Source organism: Homo sapiens, chromosome 3 (assembly GCF_000001405.40).
Source record: "Homo sapiens chromosome 3, GRCh38.p14 Primary Assembly".
In the NCBI taxonomy this organism is placed as follows: Eukaryota; Metazoa; Chordata; class Mammalia; order Primates; family Hominidae; genus Homo; species Homo sapiens.
This window is the reverse complement of record NC_000003.12, coordinates 106,534,331-106,558,038: the sequence shown is the minus strand read 5'-3', so window position 1 is coordinate 106,558,038 and position 23,708 is coordinate 106,534,331. Positions and strand designations below refer to the sequence as shown.

The following is a 23,708-nucleotide window of genomic DNA, read 5'->3' as shown; positions in this document are numbered from 1 at the left end:
CCAGGTGTAGTGGCGAGCGCCTGTAGTCCCAGCTACTTGGGAGGCTGAGGCAGGAGAATGGCGTGAACCTGGGAGGCAGAGCTTGCAGTGAGCCGAGATCTTGCCACTGCACTCCAGCCTGGGTGACAGAGCGATACTCAGTCTCAAAAACAAAAACAAACAAACAAAAAAACCTGGCAATTGAGCAAATTTCTTCCCATAAAAGATTAATTATTTGATATTTTCTGTCATTAAAATCAAAACTAATAGGTATAGTAAAAAAGACGGCATGGAACTGAACTAGAACAAATTAACTCTTCTGAATCCTAGTTTTATTCTATGTGTTGTAAGAATTACAACAGTTACCCAGTTGGCTGTTTTGACTATAATAGTGTTGTGTTTTACCTCTAACTTGGTTTAGGAGAAATCTCAAACTGACTCATTAAGTCTCACTCAAGTACAAATGTAGGAGCCTTCCTCAAGTCCAGAAACCAAAGACGTAAAGGTCTACTTTGATGGTGAAAAGTGGCAGTGAAATTAGGCAGGGATCTATCAGGCAAAGTATAGGAAAACAACTCTCTGAATAGCCAGCTGGTATGACATTGACTACCATCAAAGTGAAGTCCTCAGTGAAAGCCACTAGAAATGAAAATTTTTGTATTTCTTAGGTCCTGTTGGTGAGTGTGCTTATTCAGATGGAGCCTAGACAGTTTGTGAACACTGATTCTGCTCTTATGGAGCTTCTTGGTACTGGCACTGAATGGTGTGCCTTAAAGTGAAGGTAAGTGATCCCTGGATGGTGACTTTTCTCCTTTCCACAAGCTTCCTATAAGTCTGGTCTCGTCCTAATCCAGACCAATCTCCATTTTTCTCTTTATATCCCTTGCATCTTTTCTCATCTCCTCACCTCCTTTAGAGTCCCTCAATGGGCAGATTATCTCCTTCATCATTTTTACCTAATATAGTTATATTGCATAAGTTTTCACACGTCCTTGAGCCCTATGTTTGAAATCCAAAAGTCAAGAATCATCCTTTGTTTCTGTGATCTTGTGTGTCATCCTTTCTATGAGTAGCGAACATTCAAATGACTGGCTCAATGAGGAGGTGGCCAGAAGATAGAAAGGAATACTGTGAATAGAAACCTCACCAATTAAAATTTCAGAAGTATCTTACTCTGTGAGGATTAAAAGAGGCTATGAATAGACAGTGCTTACCACATACCAGGTCTCAATGTAACATCAATTTTCTACTCTAAAGGATAATGTTTTGCAGAGTTGGTACTAAGATCACAACTTTTGTTTACACCTTGCCTGATGCCTTTGACTTCACACTTTACATCCCCAATTCAACATCTGCTTATTTGTTACCTGCCTAAGTCACATTTTTAACTCAATTCCATTTGCCAGCTAATCTTCAATTTGTAAGCCAAAGAACATGAATGAACGCACTTATGCATGAGCAAGATGTGGTAAGGATAATGTAGACACTGATTAATTATTCTCACATTAAGTGGGAAATTTCTCTGAGTATACTGTCTGTGATTATACTAATCAGTAAGGCCACGTTTATTTGAGGAACTGCATTCAGTGGGGAAAACTTGATTCCAGAAAACAAATGGACTGTGTAGACAATAAATTTAGAATTAGAGATTTGGCAGCATAATTTTAAAATTATCACAAATATATAAACCAATAAGATATGGTTTCCATAGGGTGTACACTTATCAGTGTGAATAAATATACACTTTTCCTGTGATAATATTTATGACATGATCGTAGAAGCTGACTGTAATAGTCTTAGACATCTAAAGCATTTCCCCTATAGGAGGCAGTTATTCTGATTCTTAGGGTCTAGGGTTGCTAGTTACCTCAAACAAAAACAAAGGAAATGATACAATTTCACTGAACATCTGTAAAATGTCATGATAGCAGCAGTCTCTTTATAGGTTTGTTTTGAACAAATGAAAATTTGAGAACCTGGGTATATTAAGTGGCGCATTTATTTGAGGTATTTAGGCCATTTATATTTAGAGAAATTATTGATACGATTGCGTTTACATTTATCATCTTGTTTTTTGTTTTTTTTTAAATTTACTCTACTATGTTTTCTTCCCATTATTCTCTTTTTCTCCTTCTTTTTAATTATTCAGTATTTTTAGTAATTCCTTTCTTTGTAAGCTATTAGCTATAACTTTCTGTTTTGCTGTGTTAGTGGTTGGTTTGGGTTTGTATCACACACCTTTAAATTGTCATAGTCTACTTCACATGATATTATACCACTTCGCATATAGAATGAGAACCTTACAACAGTATACTTGTATGTCTCCCCTCCTAGGCTTTATTGTCATATATTTTACTTTTACACATTGTAAACTCTACAATATATTGTATTCTTGCTTTTAATAGTCAGTTATCTTTTTAAAGTGGTTTAAATAATAAAGACATTTTTTAAATATTTACTCAGTTATTTTTGGTACTCTTAATCCCTTTGTGTAGACCCAGATATACATTTATTATTTCCCTTCAATGTAAAGAATTTTATTTAATGTTTCTGAGCATGTTCATCTGCTTCTGATGAATACTTTCCATTTTTAATGTATGAAAATGTCCTTAGTTCTTCATTTTGAAAAGTATGTTTACTCAATGTAAGAATTCTAGGTTGACAGATTTTTGCTTTCAGTACTTTAAAAGTGTTATTTCACCTTCTTCTTGTTTATATTGTTTCTGATGGAAATCTACAGTTATTCTTATTTTTCCCTCTGGACATGATTCTTTTTCTGTAACTGCTTTTATGATTTTTCTCTTATAATTTGTTTTGTACAATTTGATTATGATGTGCCTTGGCATAATTTTCTTCTTGTTTCTTGTGTTTTGAGTTTATTAGCTATTTAGATATGTGGACATATACTTTTCCTCAAATTTGGAAAACATTTAGCTTTTCTTTAAATAATGTATCTGATCTCTCTCTCTCCCGTCCTCGTGGACTCCAACTGCAGGTGTTAGGCTGTTGCAGTTGTCTCACAGCCCACTGCTGTTCTGTTTATTTCTTTTAATTATTTTTTCTTCCTATGTTTCATTTTGGATAATTGCTCTTGCCTACATATTTTATTTCTGTAATCTTTTTTCCTGGAATGTCTAATCAGCCATTTATCTTAGTCAAAGTATTTTTCATCTCAGACATTTTCATTTTAATCTCTAAAATTTTGATTTGGGTTTTTTTGTATCTCACTTGTGTCTACTTAACTTTTTTAATGTGTGAAATATAGAATGAATACTTCTCTCAATATTTTTGTCTTTAATTCAGTTCTACTATTTCTATCAATTCTGGGTTATTTTAAACTTGGGTTATTTTAAATTCTGGTGTTTTTTCCATATTTTGGGTCACATTTTTCTGCTTTTTGCATGTGTGACAATTTTTAACTGGATGCCAATTATTATGAATTTTGCCTTCTTGGGTGCTAGATATTCTTGTATTTCTTTTTTCTTTCTTTTCTCGCTCTGTCGCCCAGGCTGGAATGCAGTAGCGTCATCTCGGCTCACTGCAAGCTCCGCCTCCCGGGTTCACGCCATTCTCCTGCCTCAGCCTCCCGAGGAGCTGGGACTACAGGTGCCTGCCACCACGCCCGGCTAATTTTTTGTGTTTTTAGTAGAGACGGGGTTTCACCGTGTTAGCCAGCATGGTCTCGATCTCCTGACCTCGTGATCCGCCCTCCTGGGCCTCCCAAAGTGCTGGGATTACAGATATTTTTGTATTTCTATAAATATGCCTCAGCTTTTTTTCTGGACTTCAGCTGAGTTACTTACAAAAAGTTTAACCTGCTTTGGTCTTGCTTTTAAGATTTGTTAGGCAAGACCAAGCACTCACAGGGGATCTTCTGCATGTTGCTGGAGTTTCTTTGTGCAGTTCCCTCATCTTCAGTAATCTACTTTTGAACTTTAGCCAACTTGGTGACTCCACACTTCTAGCTCAGTCTCTTCAACTCAGGCCGCATGCTGGGTCCTGCCTCAGTTTTCTTCCCTGCACTACAGCCTAGAAACTACATGCAGCAAGCTCAGCCAATAGTATGGCTTGACTCATTTGTTCACCATCTCTCAGGGATCACTGTCCTATGTTGCCTGATGATGTTCAATGCCTTGAAAAACGTATAGTTTATATGGCAATATAGGACAGTGATCCCTGAGAGATGGCAAACAAATGAGTCAAGCCATATTGTTTCATACATATTATATATGTGCATGTATGAATATATATAGGTATATATTTAAATTTTAGAAGTTGTTTCAGTGGAAGACTTATTCCATTTTGGTCAAAATAAGAATCTCATGTAAAATTTCTGATTTTTTAAAATAGAAATATTTTAGGTTGAAACTCAGTTGTCATATGTATTTGGAGAAATGCTATCAACTTGTATACATATCTTGTAGTAAAAGTTATCATAGCTAACTTTAGCATGAGGCTATAGGTAAAGAAATATTTATCAATTATCAAATATTAAATATTGAAGTAGGTTTATTAAATAATGTTAATGAAATGAGAAGGAAGAAAATAAAAATAACATTTGGAATATTTTTGGAGTCAGTAAGCATGACATTCTCATTCTCTTATGTTACATTTTAGCTACAATTATAAAATTTATACTTAGGTCTTCTTTGCATTTAGAAAAATATCCAATGCAATCTAGCCTAAAGAATGGAAGAATTAAAATTTTCATTTGGGCTATTATTTCAATTTGTTAAAACAACATTGATTAAACACTGTTTTTAATATTATTTTAATGCATAAAAACAAAAATAAAGAATAAGACTATATAAGTTGACATTGAGAAAATAAATATAACTGCTAGTTATTGCCTGATTATATTTCATTTATAAAAACAGAGGTTAAGTTAATATACATTTGAGGAACACAGTTGCTATTGACCATGGCATGTAGTCTCTGCAGGATCTGGGGACTAATCAAAGGAAGAATTGCCATCAGGTAAATAGTGAAGACATTCCAGTTGGAAGTAGATGTTAGTGAGCATGATACTTTATTTACACTACTACCACAGCCCCTGGAATGGTAGTCTGACCAAGAATATGGTGCTCAAAGTATCCTTATAATAAATTTTGCTGAATAAATATTTCTCAATTTACAAATGGACTAAACACACTGTAAGGTAAATGGATGTGCTTTGGTCAAGAATAGGTGGAGGCAGACATCCAGGCCTGCATGACTCAGCAAGTTAGGAGTGCAGGTGCACAACTCCTCTTGTTATATAACTTGTTTGTGTAAGCTCATACTTGTCTCGAAGCCACTATTTTTTGTAAAAGGTATAACTGCCCTCCTGACACTGTACATGCGGCACATGCCCTGAGAGAGAAAGAAATGTGCTGACCCTATAAAAGACAGCTTGCTTCTTGCAGATGGACAGGAGGGAGCCAGGAACTAGCAAGTGTGCCGGAGAGTGCAGCTGTATGTGTGGGAGTCATAGGGGCCTCAGAGCTTGCTGCTAAGAGTGGCTGCAACCAGAGCAGACAGCCAAGACAAAGGCAGATAGTGTAAGAGAGCTGCTGAATAAAACCACATTTCACCTGCCCATGGCCCCGCTTGAGTGTTATTTCATCTGTCCTCCACTCATCCACCCACTCCCCTCAGACCTTAGCATGGTCTGGAACCTGACACTTGGCATGACATACACAAAAACAGTTGATTTGTAAAGTTGTATTACAAATTTTAAAAAGTTTATTAAGCAAATAATTAAATTAATAATTTGTTCAATATTAACCTCAGAAAACTAACGAAATTACATATGTGTGTATATACACACATAGACACACACTTAATACATGGAGTCAATGGAAGTATTTTAAATATATATGTAGCTACCATTCATAATACTATTTATACAGGAAAGTACATTCTGATAAGTAACTTAGGACACCAGTATTTTATTCTTCATAAAATTATTAGAGTATTGAGGACCATTATAATTATTGGGAGTGGGGAAGATAATTACATGAGAGATAGCCACTTTTGGGGAATTACTCACTTATTACACAACCACATATTTTAAAGAAATATGTAGTTGCATACAAGAAAATTTCTCTGTTAGTTGCCTATTCTCAGAAAGTTCCAAATTGAAGAATAAAACAGAAGCACAACTCAGAGATGCCAGACAAGAAACATGCTCCTCTCCCTCGTACCCTTTATTTTCTTACGGGTATGTGTGCGTTGGGGGGAATCTTTGCTTACAGGTTGTTTTAATATGAAGACATGGATTGGGAAAGGATGTTTGATTAAATCACAAGAAAGAATGGTGACAATGATTATTATCACTGGCTTGGACATTTAAATGTGAATAGGTAGATATTTTGTTCTTTTTCCAAAGGTATTACATTATTTGAAACACCAAATAAAACCTAATATTTGTAGAGTTCATTACAGTTTTAAGTCACTTTCACATACGGTGTCTCATTTGATCTTTAAAACCCATTGCTTGAGAAATGGAAAAGTTGATTATCATATGCATTCTATTACTCATAAATAACATAAACTATATGCACTGAAAGTTCACTTAACTGCTAAGTGTTCAAAGTATCAGCCATATAAAATTGCAGCAATTTCAGTTTATTTTGTCATGGATACCCAATTGCTTAACATATTAAAAATCACTGAGCCTTAAAGGCCTATTTAACTTTTTAGAGCTTGTACGATATATTATTATCTGTAGTTTATTTATTATGCCTTATTTATTTAACAAAATGCATAGCAGTGAAGCCTTTTAAGGCCTCCTTCAAAATGAAAGAGTTCCACAAACTCCAGTATAAAATAAGATTATGGATTATAATGGCAATAATAGCTTCTGCTTCTTCCTCTCTACCTTAGTTACTAAAAACTTCCACTTTCAAGGCAGTTGAAGAATTGGTTTACTATTTTTTTTAATATATTTTTTCATACAGTGTTTCTTAGAATTCATTTGGTATTGCATTCTCTCGATTCCTTTACTTTTCCCCTTATTTTCTGTATGTTTGCATTCAATTTCAGTAGATATTATTTATCGTTATTCCAGTACTCTTTAAGGAGGATTTGTCACCTACATGCCTTTTTCCTGTCTATGACAAATAAAAACACCTCAATAAACCTGAGCTCATATCCTGACCTAACAGCTGAAAAATTAATGCCATGGTTCTGGCTATTTAATCGAATGTCTAGTTTATATACATAAATTCTGAATAAATAAAATGATACAAAGGGACAAGCTTAATGATATTAAATCTAAGACTTCTAATTAATGGACAAGTTACGGAGAAATGCTATGGTATGTAAGTTGCTCTCTTTTGTGTAAAAAGGTTATCCGGCCAGGCAAGCCTCTTAGACTAAGCATATTAAAGTCAACGAAGAGGAAAGCATAAGCATTTTAAAAATACAACTTAAAAAAATGGCCGGGGGGGATATTTTGTACTTCTGAGTGGTGCAGTGAAATGATTGGAAGATTCTGCAGTTTCCAGAGGCAAGAGGTAAAACTACCCCCGACCCCAGCCCAGTTAAATTCTACCCCAACCTGCCAAAGCAAGGTGTGTGGTAATTGCTCCACTGAGAACAGAGCAGGGATGAATCCGCTTCTGATGTGTTTTATTGCGATTTGCATTTTTCTGCATTGTAATTAACAGGCTTTAATAAAACATTGATTTACATGCTGTTACAAAGTGCATTATCTTTCAGGCTTTAAATTAAACGTTTCTGCAGCCTGTGTGTTGGTGGGAGTGGGGGTAGGGGTGGGGTATAGATTAGCTTGATTCTCTGCCCTAGGGAAAAAGTATTTTCTTCCCCATCTGGCCCCTCTAAATGCAAAGCCTTGGTTGAACTTTTGTGTGTGTGTGTGTGTGTGTGTATGTGTGTGTGTGTGTGTGTGTAGTTTGTCACTCTCTAATTTCTGTTAAATTTCATAAGACCTGACAAATTTGCATTTACCGAGCTGTTAGATAATGTTTAGCACTTTTCATTTTCAAAGTGCTTTATAAATATTAACTAATCAAAGCTGCCAGCACACCCATGAGGCAAGGAAGTGTTGGTTTGTTGTTCTTTTTATCTTTGTTTACCTTATGTGAAATTTGTGAGATTACTGAATCTCTCTGTCTCTCTGTGTGTGTAGATACACACACACACACATATGTGTAAATATATATACACATAAATTTAACACAGTGTTAGGTAGCTTTTTTTTTACTAATAGTAAGGATTGTTCCTTTTCTGGAATATGAACATGGAGGCCTGTGACTTGTTACTTACCAAGTATAGCCTTGAATGTATGAACTACTGTATTCTTTTCTCCCTTAGACTGTAACCTTCATTAGTTAGAATAAGGGCCATTGTTTATACTTATTTTTTTCTCTTGCATCATAGCTAACCTAATACTGTTTCCATTTATTCATTGACATATTTCAAAAACATTTAATGAGTGCTTCTCTATTCTAGGCATTGTATAAAGCACTGTGAAAACAGCTAATGAGTGCCTAAATTCTTCTCTTTGGGAATATACTTGCTGGGTTGAAGTAGAAATTGGATTGCATACTGAGAATGGTGTGAGAATATCAGGTAAAGGAACAATTTAGTGAATATGGATAGGGTTAAGAGAACTAACCAGCAGACCCAGGGTCTAGCAATAATGGGAAGATATCACTTACCTCAAAAACTAGAGGGATAAGAGCTAGAGCTATGAAATAGAATTTACCCAAGAGATGTGTTGTTAGAACAATGAAATCTTTCCCAGGACTGTGACCAAGTAGGAAAGGAGTGGAGAGAAGAAGTACTCCTAACTCTCCATTCTCCCCACCTTTTATATCCTGTCAAAGCAAACTATAAGCAAAAGATAAAGGGAGCCTGGGTGATTTGGCTCATAGAGGTCACAGGGCCCATTGTCAGGTGTGAAAGGGTTGTGAATTGTAGACGCTGACAGAATACCCAGCAAAAGAGTCTTACAAGGAAAGCATACATTTATAAATTTGTGTATATATGGAAAAAAACACAAATACATTTCTCTGTGTACACCAGAGGTGGAGAACATTATTCTGTCTGTAGGTATTAGTGAAGGCATTAAGGAGAATGTGAGCTTTGTTCAAGAGATCTATTATACCCATGATGACTATAATTAACAACAATGTATTATATACTGAAAAATTGCTAAGAGAGCAGATTTTAAGTGTTCTTATAACAAATAAATGAAAAGTATTTGAGGTAATTCATATGTTAATTAGCTTGATTTAGCCATTCCACAATATATACATATTTCAAAACTGTACACCATGAATATATACAATTTTAATTTGTCAATTAAAAAACAAACGCAAAGAGAATGTGAACTTTAACCTAAACCTTGGAAGTTGATATTTTGATTGAATTACTTGGATTGTGAAGTCTCGGCATTGTTTTACTGGTTTGGAAAGGGATAACAAGAGAACAACTGCCCTTTAACTTGAGATGTCAATTGACTACACTTTCAGATGTGTACATCACTGAAGATTGACAATGACCCACATAGGTTCTATTCTGACCATTTATTGAGCATTTTTCTTTTAAAGAAAACCATTAATAGTACAATTAAAATTAATCCCTTGGAATATTTTTTTAACCATTGCATTTTTTTCTTTTCCTTAAATATTCTAGCATAATTTGGATAAATTTAATTATGAAAGCGAGTGTATTGTAACAGCTTCCCCTGGAATATTATCTAAGATCCAACATCTAAAATTGGTGCTTCCCTATCCCATTTCCATTTAATTTAATTAGTAAAGCCCACTGGATAAATAATTGCTAGTTTTATTTATTCAACTAAGAAATTTCTGTAAAAAAATTGACTTCTCTATAGTTTTCAACCAAACATCACTTTGAAATCCATCCAGATCTTAATTATAGTACAAGTTCTTCTTGCCTACTGTGCAAATGAAGCTTATTTATGAAGGCAGGGGAATTGAAATAAAGAGTTTAATACACATGGAGTTAGCTAAATGGAAGGCCAGAGTTGTATTACTACTCAAATCAGCCTCCCTGAAAATTTGCAGGCTAGGGTTTCTCAAGTATAGGTAGTAGGCAGGCAGTGGGGTAGGGAATGGGTGCTACTGATTGGTTGGAGACAATATCATAGGGGTGTGGAAAATGGTGCTCCTGTACTGAGTCTGCTTCTGGATGGGGCCATCTGGTCATCAGAAATGCCTGAAAAGACATCTCAAAAGGACAATCTTAGATTTTACAATAATGATGTTATTTAGAGGGAAGTTGCAAATCTTGTGACCTCTGAAATAATGGCTGGTAATCATTTAACTATGAATTCAAGCACCTCACATCCTCCTAACCTGATGACATTTTGTTAATTTTACAGAGGCAGTTTAGATTTTGAGAAGAGCTATTATCATTTAAATAATAAATTGAATTTCTCCCAAAGTTAGTATGCACCACACCCAGGAACCACTGAAGGCAGTTTGGTGGTTAAAGACATGATAGAGTTGGTTAGGTCAGGTCTCTTTTACTGTCATAATTTTTTTCACTGTTTTTGAAAAACAATTGCAAAGGCAGTTTTAGTAGTCTCTTTTGGGGTTCATCATGCCTTATTCTTAAGGTGAGAGCTACAGAGATGGAAAAAGACTGACAGCTGTTCTAACTTCTTCCTGCTGACAGAGGCTGCAGTTGGGATAGGGGTTGTCTCCAAGGTAAGAAGAGTGAAACCACTTTGCAGCTGTCTACATGTATTCATGGGTGCCAGGTTGGTGGTTAACAGAAGACTACAAGATAATGAGTCCTAATATAAGGAATAAAATCCTAGTTTCAGAAGTCCTTGTAGAATTGTTCTGAAGCCCTTGTAATCCAGGTATATAACCCCAAGAACCAATCAGACATGGCGTCACTAGTAGAGAGAGATTTGGGGCACAGGTTCTGAGAAAGACAAATTGGAATAAAAAGGAAAGAGTAAATTTAAATGTACTGTGTCGTATCTTTTTAATTAGTTTTTAGTCCTGAGAATAAATCAGTTCAAACAGCCATGTCTCATTCTAGGTAGTGGCATTGCAGATGGGCTGGGCCTCTATATGTGATGAAGGCAAATTTTTAATAAGGGGCATTTCTATGGAAACAGAAGAAAACCAAAGCTTAATTTTGGGTGCAATCTATCCACATGTTAGAGGCAAAGCATCTCTAGTTACAGAGGAGGAGGGCAGTAGCAATAGACACATTTTTTCTTGCTTGTGTTACAAGGAATAAGCTTCATCTTGCAGGACCTCAGAAAAAAGGTAGTATCAGTTTCATTGAGTCTAAATCAGAAAAATGGAAGAAAAAGTTGAAAGCATTAGTTTGGGGACTTGTAGGCAAGAAAGATTCAGGATTCAGTTTGAATTGCAGAAAGTAATAAAGATGCAAAAATAATGGACAAGGCTAGAATCTAACAACAGATGTACTATAATTTTTTCTTCCGAAACATAATTTTTTCTCCGGTCCCCATTTTTCATAGAGACAAATCATAGTTAGACAAACTTATTTGCAAAATAAGTCTTAGTCTTATTATATTTCACCTGATTATTTGCATAAAGTGGAGCAAGAATAATTATTTGCCATATAAGCTCTTTGTAAATTGGCTTTGTTGGAACTTTTTTCATAAGCAATCTTAGATTAGACCTTTTAAAGCCTCGAGCCCACCCACAGATTTATCTGTGCTTGTAAGTCCTCTATGAATTGGGTAGATGACTCTCTTCTCAAGGTCCCAAGGTAACGTGGGGTTCATAGACCTGTCAGAAAGTGACATTCTTTACTTACCACAGGTACAGGGACTGCATAGACAACATATAATAGTAGTTTTCCAAAGGAGCATTTTGGTTGTTGTTCTTTTTTTTTTTTTTAACTTCTTTTTCTAGAGCCTTTAGATAAAACCAAGTGCTTTAATTGGCTCCGTAAGTCAACTTTGATTCATTAAAACTGTCTTTTTATATCTGAAAGTATGTCATTCTGGTCAAAATCTGGTAAAAACAACCAGTGTCTCCAATGGTGTCCTGTTACAAGAGAAAATAAATCCTTATTGAACTTATGCAAATAACTAGACTGCCATAAATTAAGTATACTTACAAATAGTTTTCAAATTCTGGAGAAAGCAGGTAGAAAAAAAGAAATATGCTCCAAATTTTGCTCATAGGCATATACTTTACCCAATTGTTAAAAGCAGTAAATAGATCAAAAGAAAAAGGGTTTCTAGACTCTGCAAAATAAAAGAATTAGGAATGTTTTAAACAAAATAATAATGAAAAGATTATTTGGCTCTTTTATTAGTTCAGTCTATATAATTAACTCCTGTTATGCCTGATATTGGGCTGCTCAATATCAGCTTTCCACGTCATGAACATATCAGCTTTCCACATCATGAACACATCAGCTTTCCATGAGTCCTAGAAGTTCCTTTTTTCTCCTCTATTTCAATGACAAAATTTCCTAAGTTATCAGAGATCTGCATTCAACAGATACCTACAGAGTCTTATGGCTTGATTATAAACCACCTTTTGAAAGTGATCAAAACAGGACAGTTATCTGTGGATGACAAAAGTCTTAAGGCAATGACAGTTAAAGCCATAATCAACAAGGAAATCTGGTCATCTCTGTGACACACAAAAATTTAACATAACAATCATAATTATTACTAACATATTCCTAACATATAGGAATCTTATACTATTTTGGAACAAATACTAACAACACATTTATATGATATAACCCAAAGAAAGTTAAACATCATTTTATATTTGATGATGTATCCTATATGGTTTTAATATTCCAAATAAACCAAATATGTCTCTTCTGGACTTCAGGGAACCTAATACTTAAATGACGAATGAGGTCAAAAAAGGACTGAATTTAGAATTTAATTTTGGAAATTTGTCATATATCAAAGGTTTAAAATACTTGATATCACAATACAGAATCCAAAGTCAATGTAAGTTAAATTATTAGCCAAAATGATACTTTAAAACTTTTCAAAGGTTTTTAAAGCAAAAACCTTTACTCATAGATAAAGGACAGACAGCTTTCCCAACAAGACCCAGTAAAGACAGCAGGAGGCCAACTGAATTTGTCTCATCTCTCTTCTCTCTCCCCTCTTTTTCTTGTGATTTATTCAAAAGGCAAACAAAAATCTTTCATTATCTTTTAATATTATATGAAAATATTGTTAAAAAGAGAAAGACAAATTTCACCTTTGCATTAACTCAATTCCTAATAAAACTTTGTAAACAAATATATCCAATCTTAATCAGTATCCAATCCAATCAATATGGCAATATTTCCATAAATCTTTTATAATACTTTACAATTTTCTGTTAAAGAGCAGATTAATGCTCTAAGAAAACCCTGTTACTGAGACCCATGAGCTCAGATTCTGGTCCTGCATCAGTGTGCTTTTATTTTGATGTTCAATTTATGGAAAAACTAAATAATATCTTTTTAATTTTATCCAACTTGTTCCACATAGAATTTTTTTAAACAACATTACTCTTTCCCAAGCCTTTTACAACTTGCTTAAACCTTCAGTTTTATCCTATATTTTTTAAATATTTGAAACAATCCTTAATTTCTCTAAATGAGACAAAATTATTTTTAAAAACAACATGTTCCTATACCTTTTTATTAATAACACATAACTCTTATTTTAAATGTAAGCAGTTTTAATTGTGTATCATGTGTGAAGCCTATGACACAGGACAGAACTGCAGATAGTGTCAGACTCTTTCCATCACTGGTAGGGAGCATGGCTACTCCACTGTCCCCAGGCATTACCTAGAATCTAATGGCTCCAAAGCAGCCAAGTTGAACAATTATTAAAAGTCATAGAGCAGTGTTCTAACCTTAGAGCATCTAGCAAAAAAATTATACCTGACCTGCCTCATTCAGACAAAAATGTGTAAATTTTGGAGACATTTTAGTTTTACCAAAAATCTTTAAAACTGTCTTTATTTTTCAAAGATTATTAGAGTGACATGAACAAAAAGGCATTTAGGTTTTTATTTTCCTGACAAAATATTTTATTTAAGCCCTTATTATTTTTAAGCCAATTAATTAGAGCTTTTTCATATATTTTGATAGTGAAACATCACACACATGACACATTCAAGTACACAAACCGATGCAGATTTGGTAGAGTGATAAGATTTGTTATTTGACTGTTTTTAAGTTTCTCTTTCTTATGTTAGACCATCAGTCTCTTGATTACCTGTTCCAGGCCCTAACAATTGTCAGGCATGCAGTTCCAAATTTGCGTCTTTAAAAGGATAATTCTGAAGTGAAGCAAAATAGAAAATTCATATTTTATTTACACCAAGGAAAAATGGTATGGGTAAAATTTCAGTCAAGATGGCCAGGAAAACCAGACAGTCTTACACATGGAGATTTCCTTAAAGATGTAAGTTTCTTGACTAGGTTATTGGCTTTAGGATGGAGTCTTTTCGGGAAAAGGGTCAGGAAAGCCCACAGTTTCTACGGCCTAATTATCAGGTATAGCTGGAAGGCAAAACAGATCTGCAAGATAAACATCTAATTTTTACAGCAAACCCTGGGGCCCCCCAAAAGGGAAATGCTATGGAAGAAGATAGTGCAATGCTTTCACAGTGTATCTTATTGAAAGGACATTTCCTCTAGGCTGCTGGGCAACCCAACAGCAATCAGGCCACTCTTTAATTAGCTCATACTCTATTCTTTTTTTTTGTTTTTTGTTTTGTTTTTTGTTTTTTTTTTGTTTGTTTGTTTTCCAAGTTCCTTTTTATTTAAATGAATCAGAACTGCAATCTGCACATGAAAAGACCTGGGGGGAATGCCTACATCTGGAATTTCATTACGTCAATGTTAAATTTTGTCCGACCAGTTCTTCATTGCTGATCACTTTTGATAATGACAGATCCAACATGAAACTCCTGAAGCAAATGAATATTTACCTTGTGCTTTCATGCAAATTTAGGGACCAAACTCAAAGGTTTCATCCATGCTGGACACCAGATCTAAGCTCATACTCTATTCTATACTTTCTCAGTATCCAAGAGCATGCTTTTCTTATTTAAACACTCAAAGAAAGGAATGTCATCCTGGAGTAATAAATAGCCACTGTAAGCAACTACCATCAGCCATTTTTAAAAGTATATTTCTTATCTAACTATTATACATCAAGGTTGATTTTTCTCATGATGCGAAGTAATTTCTTGTTCCCCTGTCTACAAAAGTCAAAAAGATTGGATACAAGAGCAAGGAAGAACATACAGGAGTAAATGGGAAACAGAATTCAGTTGTCTGAGAAGTTTTTACAAAAGAAAAGCAGGGGATTTAAAACAATATCTGTACACATATATCCCAAATATAAACATTAATTCAGTTAATTTTTAACTACTGAACTCTCAGAAGAAAATATTCTATTAGCAGACGTTAGCCAGGACAAACAGCTGGTATTTCTGGCTTTTGAATTTTTGACCACAAGTAACCTCCCACGTGAAACCAGTAAGCTCTAGCTAAGGTTATGACTTAACCATGGATGCATGAGGTGTCTTTAAAGAGATGGCAAGCAGTTTTTACAAGATCTAGAGTTGCCCCAGAGGTAGCTCAGAGAAAATAAAATTGAAGACAAGAAATCAGAAGCTATCTATGACAGGAAAAATAATCAATGGCAAAAGTCCTGCAAGTATTAAACCAGAAAGGATTCATTCCCTCAGCTAGGAATTGAACGCTTGTCACCATAGTGAAAGGACAAAGCCTTAGCTAGTGAGCCACAGCATGGGGCGGTCACCATTGCTATTCCCAGAAGGAATCTAAGGCAGTCGTTTTTGAGCTTGCAAAGGATTTTCACTGCTTAAGAGAATTCTTAAAGCTAGCCATGATATGAACTTGAAACTTCCCAACCTCCAGATAGTAGAGACCAAGAGCGTGTACTTCCATATGGTCAAGTTTTCAAAGACATAAAACAAGATGAGAGGTCACTTTGTTAAATTTTTCTTTTTCAGGGACCTACAGCAAAGTTTGTGTCTCACCAGTCTGTAAGCCAGCATGAACAGTAGGCTTATAGGGGTTCACAGAATGTGTTGTATCCTGTGGTACCCCTCTCTATAACAGAATAACAGAGACAAATTTATAGCACAAAATATACCGGATTTTCTACAGCCTAAGACTAGTCTCACAAATCATTTTCCTTATTAATTAAAACATTGCAGAGGAGACAAATGGTTAATTTTACCATTCATTCAAGCAGTTTGCATACAGAGAGGCCAGAAGCCCTGGCTGGTAAGAAATTCTTACCCCTTTTCTGGCTTGACAAGTTTCTGGGTTTGCTTTCTCTGTAGCTTCCGAAATAGCAGAGCAGCTTTTGATGCCCCTGCTTGCAGCACCATAGATGTGAGGGACAAGCCACATTACAAAAGAAATCTTATTTTCCCATTTTATGGAACCATCAGCAAAAACCTCTCAATTTTGCAAGATCCCACCCAAACAGCTGCATAGGGGAGCTAAACTAACATTTCTCATTCCAGCTGGAATAAAATGTACATGACAACACAGATACCAGTCATCCTGCTCAGCAACCAAGTATCAACCTGACAAGGCTCAAACTTTCCTTTGGCAGCCCCCTCACCTTTGATCCACTCAGAGTGGGGTGGGATGACCTCTGACCAGGCATTTCAATGGGTGGTCTTTGGACAAGATAGAAGAGTGAACTGTCACCCTGAGTTAGGCATGTCGTGCTTCCTTCAGGGCTCACAGAATGTGACCGACTAGACAAACTAGGAGAGCCTGCTAGACTTACAATAGCAGTTCCTTCAGGGAATCCTCTCTGTAAATAAAAGCACACACACAAAAGGTAAAGATGAACAAAAGGTCTTTTAAACCAAGATTCCAGACCAGATTCCAAACCAGAAAAGAGTATTTCTCCAAAAAGTCCCTTATTTTTGAGGCCGCAGAGACAGACAGTTCCTATGACAGGGCTACCTACAGTACCTCTAGAGAGGCCAACAGATAAAGAGAAGGAAGCAGGTGTTGGCAGCACCTGGAATACTCATCCAACCAGGTTAAAAGACATCTTCCAGGAACTGTTTCTCCATTGCAATTAGATCCATGCAGTATGGCTCAACAGTGCCCTACCAGTAGAGGCAGTACATAGTCCAAGAGAACTACGCAGCTGCTTGGGCTTGGCCTTTTTTTCCCCAAAGGTAACCATAGTTCAGTAGCCCCTCACTGGCAACAAGGGACTACTGAGCCATGGGCAGTAACCTGCAAGGTCTATCCTAAATAAGTCCCCAAATTTGAACCACCCAACAGATTCTTCTTGCTCGCTGCCCAGATGAAGCCGATTTATCAAGACAGGGGAATTGAAATAGAGAAAGGGTGTTTAGCAGCTCTACAATACATATAATACATGTATTAAGATGTATGACAACAACAAACCAAGTGGAGATGTAGTTTTATAAATTATTTCACCTTGCATTGCTTTTAGACATGAACATTTTCAGGTGTCACTTGGAGTATTATTGGAGAAAATCATATTTACAGTGTTTGTTTGAAAGGTATATTTGAAGAAAACTTTTGAAAGACTCAGAAAACTATTTTACTTTATGGCTCAGCAGGTGCTTCTAACCATATTTATGCTTAAGATTGCTAAATGAAAGAGGGAGCTACCTAGTCAGAGAAGTTAAATTATTAGATGTTATCTTTTTTATAGTAATATTTTTAATTGAGGTAAAAATAGCAATGCAAAGTGTACAAATTGTAAGAGTACAAAACAACGAGTTTTGGCAAATGCATAGATCTGTGTGACCGGAATTCATCAGCCCAGGTTTCAGCATGCCTCTTTCCAGTTAATCTCCACTGCCACTCACTGACCCAGAGGAAGACACTTCTCTGTTTTGTGTTTTTTTTAAATCACTACTGAGCAAAAAGTACCCTTTTTACTTTTTTGTCACCAAAGATTAGTTTTACCTGTTTAAAGATTTATTTAAACGGTATCAGCTTTCATTTTTTTATTATTATTATACCTTAAGTTCTGGAATACATGTGCAGAATGTGCAGGTTTGTTACATAGATATACATGTGCCATGGTGGTTTGCTGCACCCATCAACCCATCATATAGGTTTTAAGCCCCGCATGCTTTAGGTATTTGTCCTAATGCTCTCCCTCCCCTTGCCCCCAACCCCCTGACAGGCCACGGAGTGTAATGTTCCCTTCCCAGTGTCCGTGTATTCTCGTTGTTCAACTCCCACTCACGAGTGAAAACATATGGTGTTTGGTTTTCTGTTCCTATGTTAGTTTGCTGACAATGATGGTTTCCAGCTTCATCCATGTCCATGCAAAGGATATGAACTCGTTCTTTTTTTATCACTGCATAGTATTCCATGGTGTGTATGTGCCACATTTTTTTTAAATCCAGTCTATCATTGATGGGCATTTGGGTTGGTTCCAAGTCTTTGCTATTGTAAATAGTGCTGCAATAAACATATGTGTGCATGTGTCTTTATGGTAGAATGATTTGTATTCCTTTGGGTATATACCCAGTAATGGGATTGCTGGGTCAAATGGTATTTCTGAGATGGTATCTCATTGTGGTTTTGATTTGCATTTCTCTAATGACCAGTGATGATGAGCTTTTTTTCATATGTTTGTTGGTGACATAAATGTCTTCTTTTGAGAAGTGTCTGTTCATATCCTTCACCCAGTTTTTGATGGGGTTGTTTTTTAATTGTAAATTTGTTTAAGTTCCTCATAGATTCTGGATTATTAGCCCTTTGTCGGATGAATAGTTTGCAAAAATTTTCTCCCATTCTGTAGGTTGCCTGTTCACTCAGATGATAGTTTCTTTTGCTGTGCAGAAGCTCTTTAGTTTAATTAGGTGCCATTTGTCAATTCTGGCTTTTGTTGCCATTGCTTTTGGTGTTTTAGACATGAAGTCTTTGCCCATGCCTATGTCCTGAATGGTATTGCCTAAGTTTACTTCTAGGGTTTTTATTGTTTTAGGTTTTACATTTAAGTCTTTAATCTATCTTGAGTTAATTTTTGTATAAGGTATAAGGAAGGGGTCCAGTTTCAGTTTTCTGTATATGGCTAGCCAGTTTTCCTAGCACCATTTACTGAATAGGAGATTCTTTCCCCATTGCTTGTTTTTGTCAGGTTTCTCAAAGATCAGATAGTTGTAGATGTGTGGCATTATTTCTGAGGCCTCCATTCTGTTCCATTGGTCTATATATCTGTTTTAGTATCAGTACCATGCTGTTTTGGTTACTGTAGCCTTGTAGTATAGTTTGAAGGCAGGTAGCATGATGCCTCCAGCTTTGTTCTTTTTGCTTAGGATTGCCTTGGCTATATGGGCTCTTTTTTGGTTTCATATCACATTTAAGGTAGTTTTTCTAGTTCTGTGAAGAATGTCAGTGGTAGCATGATGGGAATAGCATTTAATCTATAAATTACTTTGGGGAGTATGGCCATTTTCATGATATTGATTCTTCCTATCCATAAGCATGGAATGTTTTTCCATTTGGTTTTGTCCTCTCTCATTTTCTTGAGAAGTCGTTTGTAGTTTGCCTTGAAGAGGTCCTTCACGTTCCTTGTAAGTTGTATTCCTAGGTATTTTACTTTCTTTGTAGCCATTGTGAATGGGAATTCACTCATGATTTGGCTCTATGTTTGTCTATTATTGTTGTATAAGAATGCTTGTGATTTTTGCACATTGATTTTTTATCCTGAGACTTTGCTGAAGTTGCTCATCAGCTTAAAGAGTTTTTGGGCTGAGACAATGGGGTATTCTAAATATACAATCATGTCATCTGCAAACAGAGACAATTTGACTTCCTCTCTTCCTATTTGAATAACCTTTATTTCTTTCTCTTGCCTGATTGCCCTGGCCAGAACTTCCAATATTATGTTGAATAGGAGTGGTGAGACAGGGCATCCTTGTCTTGTGCCAGTTTTCAAAGGGAATGCTTCCAGCTTTTGCCCATTTTGTATGATATTGGCTGTGGGTTTGTCATAAATAACTCTAGTTATTTTGAGATACGTTCCATCAATACCTAGCTTATTGAGAGTCTTTAACATGAAGAGATGTTGAATTTTATCAAAGGCCTTTTCTACATCTATTGAGATAATCATGTGGTTTTTGTCATTGGTTCTGTTTATGTGATTGATTATGTTTATTGATTTGCCTATGTTGAACCAGCCTTGCATCCCAGGGATGAAGGTGACTTCATCCTGGTGGGTAAGCTTTTTGATACGCTGCTGGGTTTGGTTTGCCAGTATTTTATTGAGGATTTTCACATCAATATTCATCGGGGATATTGGCCTGAAATTTTCTTTTTTTGTTGTGTCTCTGCCAGGTGTTTGTATTAGGGTGATGCTGGCCTCATAAAATGAGTTAGGAAGGAATCCCTCTTTATTTGTTGTTTGGAATAGTTTCAGAAGAAATGGAACCAGCTCCTCTTTGTACCTCTCATAGAATTCGGCTGTGAATCTGTCTGGTCCTGGGCTTTTTTTGGCCAGTAGGCTATTAATTACTGCCTCAATTTCAGAACTTGTTATTGGTCTATTCAGGGATCCAACTTCTTTCTGGTTTAGTCTTGAGGGGGGATGTATGCATCCAGGAATTCATCCATTTCTTCTAGATTTTCTAGTTTATTTGCATAGAGGTGTTTATAATATTCTTGGATGGTAGTTTGTATTTCTGTGGGATCAGTGGTGATATCTCCTTTATCCTTTTTTATTGTGTCTATTTGATTCTTCCCTCTTTTCTTCTTTATTAATCTGGCATCTGGCTAGTCATCTATCTATTTTGTTAATGCTTTAAAAAAAACAACTCTGGATTCATTGATTTTCTGAAGGATTTTTCATGTCTCTATCTCCTTCAGTTCTGCTCTGATACTAGTTATTTCTTGTCTTCTGCTAGCTTCTTGTTTCTCTAGTTCTTTTAACTGTGATGTTCAGGTGTTGATTTTAGGTCTTTCCAGCTTTCTGATATGGGCAGTTAGTGCTATAAATTTCCCTCTTAACACTGCTTTAGCTGTGTCCCACAGATTCTGGTACATAGTGTCTTTGTTCTCATTGGTTTCAAAGAATTTATTTATTTCTGCTTTAATTTTGTTATTTACCCAGTAGTCATTCAGGATCAGGTTGTTCAGTTTCCACATAGCTGTGCGGTTTGAGTGAATTACTTAATCCTGAGTTCTAATTTGATTACACTGTGGGCTGAGAATGTTTGTTATAATTTCTGTTATTTTGCATTTGCTGAGGAGTGTTTTACTTCCAATTTTGCGGTTGATTTTAGAATAAGTGCTATGTGGTACTAAGAAGAATGTATATTCTGTTGATTTTAGGTGGAGAGTTTTGTAGATATCTATTAGGTCTGCTTGGTCCAGAGCTGAGTTCAAGTCCTGAATATCCTTGTTAATTTTCTGTCTTGTTGATCTGTCTAATATTGACAGTGGGGTGTTAAAGTCTCCCACTATTATTGTGTGGGAGTCTAAGTCTTTTTGTCATTCTCTAAGAACTTGCTTTATGAATCTGGTTGCTATTGTATTGTGGGTATATATATTAAGGATAGTTAGCTTTTCTTGTTGCATTGATTCCTTTACCTTTATGAAATGCCCTTTCTTGTCTTTTTGATCTTTGTTGGTTTAAAGTCCGTTTTATCAGGAACTAGGATTGCAATCCCTGCTTTTTTTTTTTTTTTTTTTTTTTTTTTGCTTTCCATTTGCTTGGTAAATACTCCTCCATCCCTTTATTTTGAGCCTATCTGTGTCTTCGCACGTGAAATGGTTCTCCTGAATACAGGACATGGATGGGTCTTGATTCTTTATTCAGTTTGCCAGTCTGTGTCTTTTAATTGGGGCCCATTTATATTTAAGATTAATATTGTTATGTGTGAAGGTGATCCTGTCATCATGATGCTTGCTGGTTATTTTGCACATTAGTTGATGCAGTTTCTTCATAGTGTCATTGGTCTGTATATTTTGGTATGTTTTTGCAGTGGCTGATACTGGTTTTTCTTTTCCATATTTAGTGCTTCCTTCAGGAGCTTTGTAAGGCAGTCCTGGTGGTGACAAAATCCCTCAGCACTTGCTTGTCTGTAAAGAATTTTATTTCTCCTTTGCTTATGAAGCTTAGGGTGGCCTGATATGAAATTCTGCCTTGAAAAATTTTTCTTTAAGAATGTTGAATATTGGCCCCTACTCTCTTCTGGCTTGTAGGGTTTCTACAGAGAGATCCACTGTAAGTCTGATGGGCTTACCTTTATAGGTAACCTGGCCTTTCTCTCTGACTGCCCTTAACATTCTTTCCTTCATTTCAGCTTTGTTGGAGAATCTGATGATTATGTTTCTTGGGGTTGCTCTTCTCGAGGAGTATCTTAGTGGTGTTCTCTGTATTTCCTGAATTTGAATGTTGGCCTGCCTTGCTAGTTTGGGGATGTTCTCCTGAATAATATCCTGAAGTGTATTTTCCAACTTGGTTTTATTCTCCCCATCATTTTCAGGTACACCAATCAATCATAGGTTTGGTGTCCCATATTTCTTGGAGGCTTTGTTCATTCCTTTTCATTCTTTTTTCTTTAATCTTGCTTCATGCTTTATTTCATTAACTTGATTTTCAACCTCTGATATCCTTTCTTTCATTTGATTGATTTGGCTATTGACACTTGTGTATGCTTCATGAAGTTCTCGTGCTGTGTTTTTCAGCTCCATCAGTTCATTCATGTTCTTCTCTAAACTGGTTATTCTAGTTAGCAGTTCCTGTAACCTTTTATCAAGGTGCTTAGCTTCCTTGCATTGGGTTAGAACATGCTCCCCTAGCTCAGAGGAGTTTGTTATTACTTACCTCCTGAAGCCTACTTCTGTCAATCTGTCAAACTCATTCTCAGTCCAGTTTTGTGCCCTTGCTGGAGAGGAGTTACACTCATTTGGAGGAAAAGAGGCATTCTGGTTTTGGGAATTTTCAGCATTTTTGCACTTGTTTTTCCTCATCTTCGTGGATTTATCTACCTTTAGTCTTTGATGTTGGTGACCTTTGGTTGGGGTTTTTGTGTGGACTTTTTTTGGTTGATGTTGATGCTATTTCTTTCTGTTTGTTAGTTTTCCTTCTATCAGTCATGCCCCTTCTTCTGCACATCTGCTGGAGTTTGCTGGAGTTCCACTCCAGACCCTATTTGCCTGGGCATCACCAGTGGAGGCCGTAGAACAGCAATGATTGCTGCCTGCTCCTTCCTCTGGAAGCTTCATCCCAGATGGACACCCACCTGATGCCAGCTGGAGCTCTCCTGTATGAGGTGTCTGTCAACTCCTGCTGGGAGGTGTCTCCCAGTCAGGAGGCATAGGGGTCAGGGACCCACTTGAGGAGGCACTCTGTCCCTTAGCAGAGCTTGAGTGCTGTGCTGGGAGATCCGCTCCTCTCTTCAGAGCTGGCAGGCATAAATGTTTAAGTCTGCTGAAACTGTGCCCACAGCCACGCCTTCCCCAGGTGCTCTGTCCCAGGGAGATGGGAGTTTTATCTATAAGTCCCTGACTGGGGCTGCTTCCTTTCTTTTAGAGATGCCCTGCCCAGTGAGGAGGAATATAGAGGCAGTCTGGCCACAACCGCTTTGCTGCGGTGCAGTGAGTCACCAAGTCTGAACTTCCTGGCTTCCTCAACACTGTGAGGGGAAAACCACCTACTCAAGCTTCATTAATGGCAGACGCCCCTCCCCTCACCAAGCCCAAAAGTTCCGTGTTGACTTTAGACT

General features: G+C 36.4%; 1 long non-coding RNA gene across 1 annotated transcript in view; it reads left to right on the top strand.

Annotated features, from left to right (window-relative positions):
• Positions 1-23,708, top strand: part of LOC101929485 (uncharacterized) — a 254,397-nt gene that overhangs the window by 74,473 nt on the left and 156,216 nt on the right. The window contains exon 4 of the long non-coding RNA XR_007095992.1: positions 648-760. This is a non-coding gene — a long non-coding RNA (uncharacterized LOC101929485). The remainder of the gene's footprint in view (positions 1-647; positions 761-23,708) is intronic.